The 7,237-nt window shown below is 38.2% G+C and overlaps 1 long non-coding RNA gene across 3 annotated transcripts in view; it reads right to left on the minus strand.

Moving 5' to 3' along the window:
* Window positions 1-4,472, minus strand: part of LOC101927413 (uncharacterized) — a 78,895-nt gene extending 74,423 nt beyond the window's left edge. For all 3 annotated transcript variants that reach the window (NR_188035.1, NR_188034.1, NR_188033.1), the window contains exon 1: window positions 4,339-4,472. This is a non-coding gene — a long non-coding RNA (uncharacterized LOC101927413). The remainder of the gene's footprint in view (window positions 1-4,338) is intronic.
* Between the last annotated feature and the right edge of the window lie 2,765 nt (window positions 4,473-7,237).

The following is a 7,237-nucleotide window of genomic DNA, read 5'->3' on the forward strand; positions in this document are numbered from 1 at the left end:
AGACTGTTAGTTTAGGCATCTAGGAGAAAACATTTCAGAACTTGTATGTCCCAACATCATGCTATTTGAAATATCACTTTTCTCAGAAAAAGTCTTGGAAGGAGATCTGATTTAACCAGATAGGTACTGGGTTAGTGACACAATATGTAGTGTTACTTCTTCCAATGAAGAAGAAATGTGTCTGGTGTTCAGAATACACACTTAGGCTAATATTCAGGCTCTGCCACATGCTATCTTTGTGGAGATGGTGGTTAGTAATATGTATGTTGTAACCCATACACAGTACAATGACAAGTTCCTTAATCTCTCTCTACGAAATGTTTATATGCTGTCACTGCATAAATTAGTATGAAACAGCCTCCAATAAACATTTCCCATCTGAGGGCTCTCTGATTTTTGGTTGAGGATCATAGGCCATTATTCTATTAATACTTGGATAGTTTCTAGGGCTTCATAACTCAAAAAAAAGAAAAAACAAAATTTCAAACCAAGATAGGATATTTTGCAAATAAGCAGACATCTTACGTCATTCTCTTTGCTTCTGTATTCCTTGACAAATAAGATAATTATTAATTTGTTGGTATATAGCCTTAAGTTACCTGCTTTCTCTACTTAGCAGGAAGATTGCATTTAGTGGAACTTTCCGAAGAATTTCATACTTTCAAATTGTTCATTTTTCTTGATTTTTCTCCACCCTAATATTCTTAACTTTCTTAATATTCTTATGTCTCTGTTTATCTCCTTGCAAATTCTAAGTCTCCATCATGATTTCTTTTTGTTCTCTCACTTCTTTAAAAAAAATTAGCTTCCTTCACTGGTCATCCTCAAGGTTTGTCGTCAACCATTTTCCATTCTCACTCTACCAGATTCCTCTCAATCTTTTTGAGTCATGAGCTTCTTTCAAAAATCTGTTGAAATGATGAACTCTTTCAGAGAAGTGTGAGGACTGGGGGGTAGGGGGCATATTCACAAATTTTACATATCATTTCGAGGGACTTATTGATCTCCCTGCTTTATGACTGCTGATAGACAAACACCTGCTCTCCAACTTCAGTATCTAATCTGTGTTGATTGTCCCAAATCTTCATTTTTAATTCCCAGTCTCTATCCAGTACTCAAGACTCATATGTACAACTAACTAGTAAATGTGTCCATTTGAAAATTCCATAAGCACCTCAAACTCAACATGCCTAAACTAAACATATCTTCTTCCCATCTAAATCTTGTATTCTCTGCCTTGTTGTCTGACAGAGTAAATATCACCATCCACTGAAGTATCTAAGGTTAAAATCTTGGTCACCCTAGACTTTTCCTTCTCCCTCATTTTCTACAATTATTCACTAAGTTCTACAAATCTGAAAATTTTTTTTTGCAATTGTCATTGATCAGATCCCAATAACTTCTTGCCCATATTAGTGACACAGACTAAAATCATGTTTAATTACATAATTAATAAAAAAACTTTCTCCTTGTAAAAAATTCAAATAATATAAAAGTACAAATGGTGAATTTTCTCTTTCCATAGCACATCCTAATTCTCTCCTTGCACATATATATCCACTGTTAAGCATTTGGTGTATATCCCTTTAGTTCTTGTTCCTTTATATTTGCATACATGTATATGTATGGATGATAAGACATAAGTTTTGAGTATTTCTTTACACAAATGGGAACATGCTGTATTAGTTTGTTTTCGCACTGCTGATAAAGACATTCCCAAGACTGGGCAATTTACACAAGAAAGAGATTTATTGGACTTACAGTTCCACTTGGCTGGGGAGGCCTCACAATCATGGTGGAAGGCAAGGAGGAACAAGTCACATCTTTCATGGATGCCAGCAGGCAAAGAGAGAGCTTGTGCAGTTAAACTCCTGTTTTTAAAACCATCATATCTCGTAAGACCCATTCACTATCACAAGTACAGCACAGGAAAGACCTGCCCCCATGATGCAGTCATCTCCCACCTGGTCCCTGCCACAACACATGGGAATTATGGGAGCTATAAGATGAGATTTGGGTGGGGACACAGAGTCAAACCATATTACTTGCTTTACATAATAGTCTCTCACTTAATCTTTTTCACTTAATAAAAGATTTGGAGAGATTTCTATTTAAGTATGTGAATATATGTTACATTTTTAATGGCTACTTAGTATTTCATTATAAAGATGTAGACTATATGATTTAATCATTGCCTTTTGATGAGAATGTAGCTTGTTTCCTGTTTTTATTATGCCCCACTATCATCCTTGTGCACGTGTGAGTATACTTTCAAAGGTGAGATTCCTAGCAGTGGATATTAGAGACTCCTATCTGCCCTCCCTACCTCTAGTCTCAATCCTCTTCAATCCTCCTTCACTTATTCACCAACAATCAACAACTATCTGAGCATCTACTGTTATCAGGCCCCATGCTGGGCATTTGGTAATAAAAAAAACCGGTTGACACAGCTCTTGCTTCCAGGGAGTTCAAAATAAAATGGAGGAGAGACAAACAGATGCAGTATAATAGTGCAGTATTATATACATATATAGGTATATCTATATACCTATATATATAGTATATAATATATGTAATATATACAGTGCAGTATAAAGTGCAGTATAATAAGGTTGAAATAGAAATGTGTACAAGGGGCCGGGCGCGGTGGCTCACGCCTGTAATCCCAGCACTTTGGGAGGCCGAGGCGGGTGGATCATGAGGTCAGGAGATCGAGACCATCCTGGCTAACAAGGTGAAACCCCGTCTCTACTAAAAAATACAAAAAATTAGCCGGGCGCGGTGGCGGGCGCCTGTAGTCCCAGCTACTGGGGAGGCTGAGGCAGGAGAATGGCGTGAACCCGGGAAGCGGAGCTTGCAGTGAGCCGAGATTGTGCCACTGCAGTCCGCAGTCCGGCCTGGGCGACAGAGCGAGACTCCGTCTCAAAAAAAAAAAAAAAAAAAAAAAGAAATGTGTACAAGGTACTCTCTCAGAGAACAGTTTTTAGAAATCACCTCGGTTGGGCGCGGTGGCTCACACCTGTAATCCCCACACTTTGGGAGTCTGAGGTGGGTGGATCACCTGAGGTCGGGAGTTCGAGACCAGCCTGACCAACATGGAGAAATCCTGTCTCTACTAAAAATACAAAATTAGCCAGGTGGGTGGTGCATGCCTGCAATCCCAGCTACTCAGGAGGCTGAGGCAGGAGAACCGCTTGAACCCAAGGGGCGGAGGTTGCAGTGAGCCAAGATTGTGCCATTGCACTCCAGCCTGGGCAATAAGAGTGAAACTCCATCTAAAAATAAATAAATAAATAAATTACCTCATTCTGAGAGCAATCAGGAAGTAAGAGAGATGAATGGAAAGTTTCCTAGACACCTCTTGAAGATTGGAATTGGCTTGGTGCAGAAATGATGGGACTTTCCAACAGAAGGAAAAGCCTATGATTTATTGATTGGGTATCAATGTGTGTCATGCTCTGTTCTAGGCACAGAATTACAGGCGTGAACAACACAGAAAAGGTTCCACTTTCATGCAGCTTTCTTTCTACTGGGGGGAAGGAGATTAATTCAAACATAAACAAGAAAGTGTATGATACAAATTCAAATTATGATAAGTTGTTAGGGGAAAACTATTAAGAGACAGAGTCAGTAAAGGCTTTTTTTCAGAAGGTTACATTTGCCTTGAGACCTGAGTTGTAAGGGCCATCACAACAAAATCTTGGAGAAGAGGGGCTAAGCAGAGGGAACAACATGTGCAAAGATGCTGAAGAAGGAATGGGCCAGACATATTACAGTAATGAGAAGGTCAGTTGTAAAGTTAACAGGGAGATTGGTGGCTATGGACTAAATGTTTATGTCCCTTCAAAATTCATATGTAGAAACCAAATCTCCAGTGTGATGGTGTGTAAAGATGGGATTTTTGCGAGTTAATTAGATCATAAGGGTGGAACCTCCATGATGGGATTAGTGTTCTTATAATAAAAGACACACAAGACAGCATGCTTTCTCTCCCTAGCCCATGTTAGAATACAAGCAACCATCTGTGAACCAACAGGAGGACACTCACTGACAACCTGACCATGCTAGCACCATGACGTCAAAATTCCAGCCTGCAGAATTGTGAGAAATAAATATTTGTTGTTTAAGCCACCCAGTCTATGGTATTTGGTTATCGCAGCCCAGACTAAGATGGTGCTACATTCAGGAACTGCAAGCATTTATGTGTGGCTAGAACCATAGCCTGGCAGAGAGAACCCTTCATGACCCTGTTTCCACCCTGGCTCCACCTCTGCCCACTCTTCACATGATCCTTAAGCTCCAAACACATAGCATATTTTTAGTTAAATAAAACATTACCTTTTCTCTTGCCTTTGCTCATTCTGTTTCCACTGCCTGGAATGACCTTCCTTGCCTTGCTAACTCCAATTTTCCCTTCCTGGCTTAGCTCAGGCAGCTGGAATCCTTCCCCAGTCCTCCCTGGCTGTGTTAGTAAGCAACCCTCTCTACAGCAGAGTACCTTGTGCATAAATAACTCTTGTGGTTAATTGTGTTTCCCTGAAGGCAGGGCTTGTTTAACTTGCACTTGTGTCCATAGAGTTGGCACAGAACCTGACACTCAGTGGATGAGTCTGCTGATTGGGGTTGGCACCTGGCCTATCTCCCAATGGCTTTACTTCCTCTAGTTCATCTGAGTTATGAGTCCTATCTCACAATCTTTCCTGTAGATATCCAAGGAGTCTCTTTATTTTTCCTGTCTCTGATCATAGCAACAATTTAGCAGAAGTTCTTTGAGTGTCTCAACACACATTATGCTTTGAGAATTATATGTATATATTATAGGATTAATGCCTTCTGAATATGCAACTTCTCTAAGCTTGCAAGCCTTAGTTTTTGTATTTCTTTTCTTTTTCTTTCATTTTGCACTTTTAAGAAAGATAATAAAAACAACTTTGTTTTTAAATTTTTTGAATGACAATAATTGCATATATTTATAGGGTACAATGTGTTTTTATACATGTACACATTTTGGGATAATTAAATCAAGCTAAGTGACATAGACATCACCTCACATACTTATCATTTTTTTGTGGTGACTACATTTAAAATGTACTCCCTTGGCAATTTTTCAGCATACAATACATTATTATTAACTCCAGTCACCATGCCATGCAGTAGATCTCAAATACTTACCCTCTTGTCTACGTGACCAACATCCCTCCATTCCCCACTACCCTCCAGCCCAAATAATCTTCCTTGTGTTTTCATGTATTATGTGCCAGCCCACTGGCTAAGTCTTTGCCTGTTACCTTATTGAATCCTCAAAGCACCACTAAGAAGTAGTTGTCTCCAACATATAAATAGGAACCTGAGGTTCAAACAAATAAAAAAGCTTAGTTACAATTGGGACCCAGGTCAGTCTGATTGCCTCCTGCAGTGACAAAACAAGGAGCTATGTCTGAAGTCAGAACGTCTCTTTATTTTTGTTTTAAAAAAATCTTAATTTAGTACTTGTAAAATGAGAACATTAACACAAATAATAAACACAATCTTGAGCAAAATTTTCCAAGATTGAATCATTGAAAAACTAGGGAGATTTGGAAAAGAATAGAATTGACATTATGTAAAAGCAAATTAATTTTCCTATCTCAAAATTTTATCTGTAAATACAAACCAGAGCTAAATGCCAAACTGAGCAACAAACCATTACAGACCAAAATAATATTTTTTTCCTATAACTCACAATAAAATGTAAACATGACTATAAATACTGCTCATCATGAGGGCTTATGGATTCTTTATTACACGTGGGAGGAGCAGTCATCTTGATAAATGTCTAGAGTTGGATTCCACTTGAGAAGTACTTCTTGTTCTAGAAAAAAAAATCATCTTCACATTGTTACTATTTTTTGATCCTAAGTAACACTGTAAAGAGAGTATCTTACAATTTGTTCCATTCAAAATCTCCTCTGAGAGATTTTGAGCAACACATGCCATTGCTCAAGAATTTCAACATTACTTAAAGTATCCATGGAGGATTCTTCATTTTGCAAAATGCATTTCAATTTCACAAATCTTTTTGAAGTACACAAAGCCTGTCTCAAACACAAAGTCAAGCAAACCATGACCTCTGTTCTCCAACTAGACTCTAGAAACTTAGAGTTTTATTAAAGATCACTACCAAAGGAGCTGAATGTGATTTGAATACTCTGTATAAAATTTGGCCACATATTTATTATAAGTTGTTTCTTTTATAGGGCCATTTTTCTGAGGCCCTTAAGGAAAAACATTTGGCACTTACGAAATAAGACCAAGTTGCTATAAAGACAATATCCCAAGACTATTTGGAAGTTTAGTTTCAACTATTTATCACATTATGTTTTTTTTTCTCTCAGGCTAAAGGAATATATTATATGATCTCAATTACTTAAATACATTCAGTTATGTGTCAGAAAAATAATTGAGGAAATACCTCCCAAATACTACCAAAGTTATTTATTTGTACTGATACTATAGACTTTTTTTTTTTTTTTGAGATGGAGTTTCACTCTTGTTGCCCAGGCTGTAGTGCAGTGGTGCAATTTTGGCTCAATGCAATCTCTGCCTCCCAGGTTCAAGTGATTCTCCTGCCTCAGCTTCCCAAGTAGCTGGGATTACAGGCATGTGCCACCATGCCCGGCTAATTTTATATTTTTAGTAGAGACAGGGTTTCTCCATGTTGGTCAGGCTGGTCTTGAACTCCTGACCTCAGGTGATCCACCTGCCTTGGCCTCCCAAAGTGCTGGGATTACAGGCATGAGCCACCGTGCCCCGCCTGATACTACAGACTTTTTAAAAATATATTTTTTGTATTCCAACTTTATAATCAGATAATAACAAACACTAATAATAAGATTAAGAATCTGTCTTCCAAAATATGGCATAATAATTAAAAGCTAAGACTTCAGAGACAGGCAAACCGAAGTTTTAATTCTGTCTTTGCAAATTAATAGTTGTGTGATCTTCAGCAATTTACTTCACTTTTCTAACCTTCATTTTTGTTTTATTTTATTATTTTTATTATTTTGGTTTTTGAAGACAGGGTCTCACTCTGTCGCCCAGTCTGGAGTACAGTGGTGTGATCTCAGCTCACTGCAACCTCTGCCTCCCAGGCTCAAGTGAGTCTCCTGCCTCAGCCTTCCTAGTAGCTGGAATTACGGTCACCCGTGACAATGCCTGGCTAATTTTTGTATTTTCAGTAGAGACAGGGTTTCACCAT

This window comes from Homo sapiens, chromosome 8 (genome assembly GCF_000001405.40).
Source record: "Homo sapiens chromosome 8, GRCh38.p14 Primary Assembly".
In the NCBI taxonomy this organism is placed as follows: domain Eukaryota; kingdom Metazoa; phylum Chordata; class Mammalia; order Primates; family Hominidae; genus Homo; species Homo sapiens.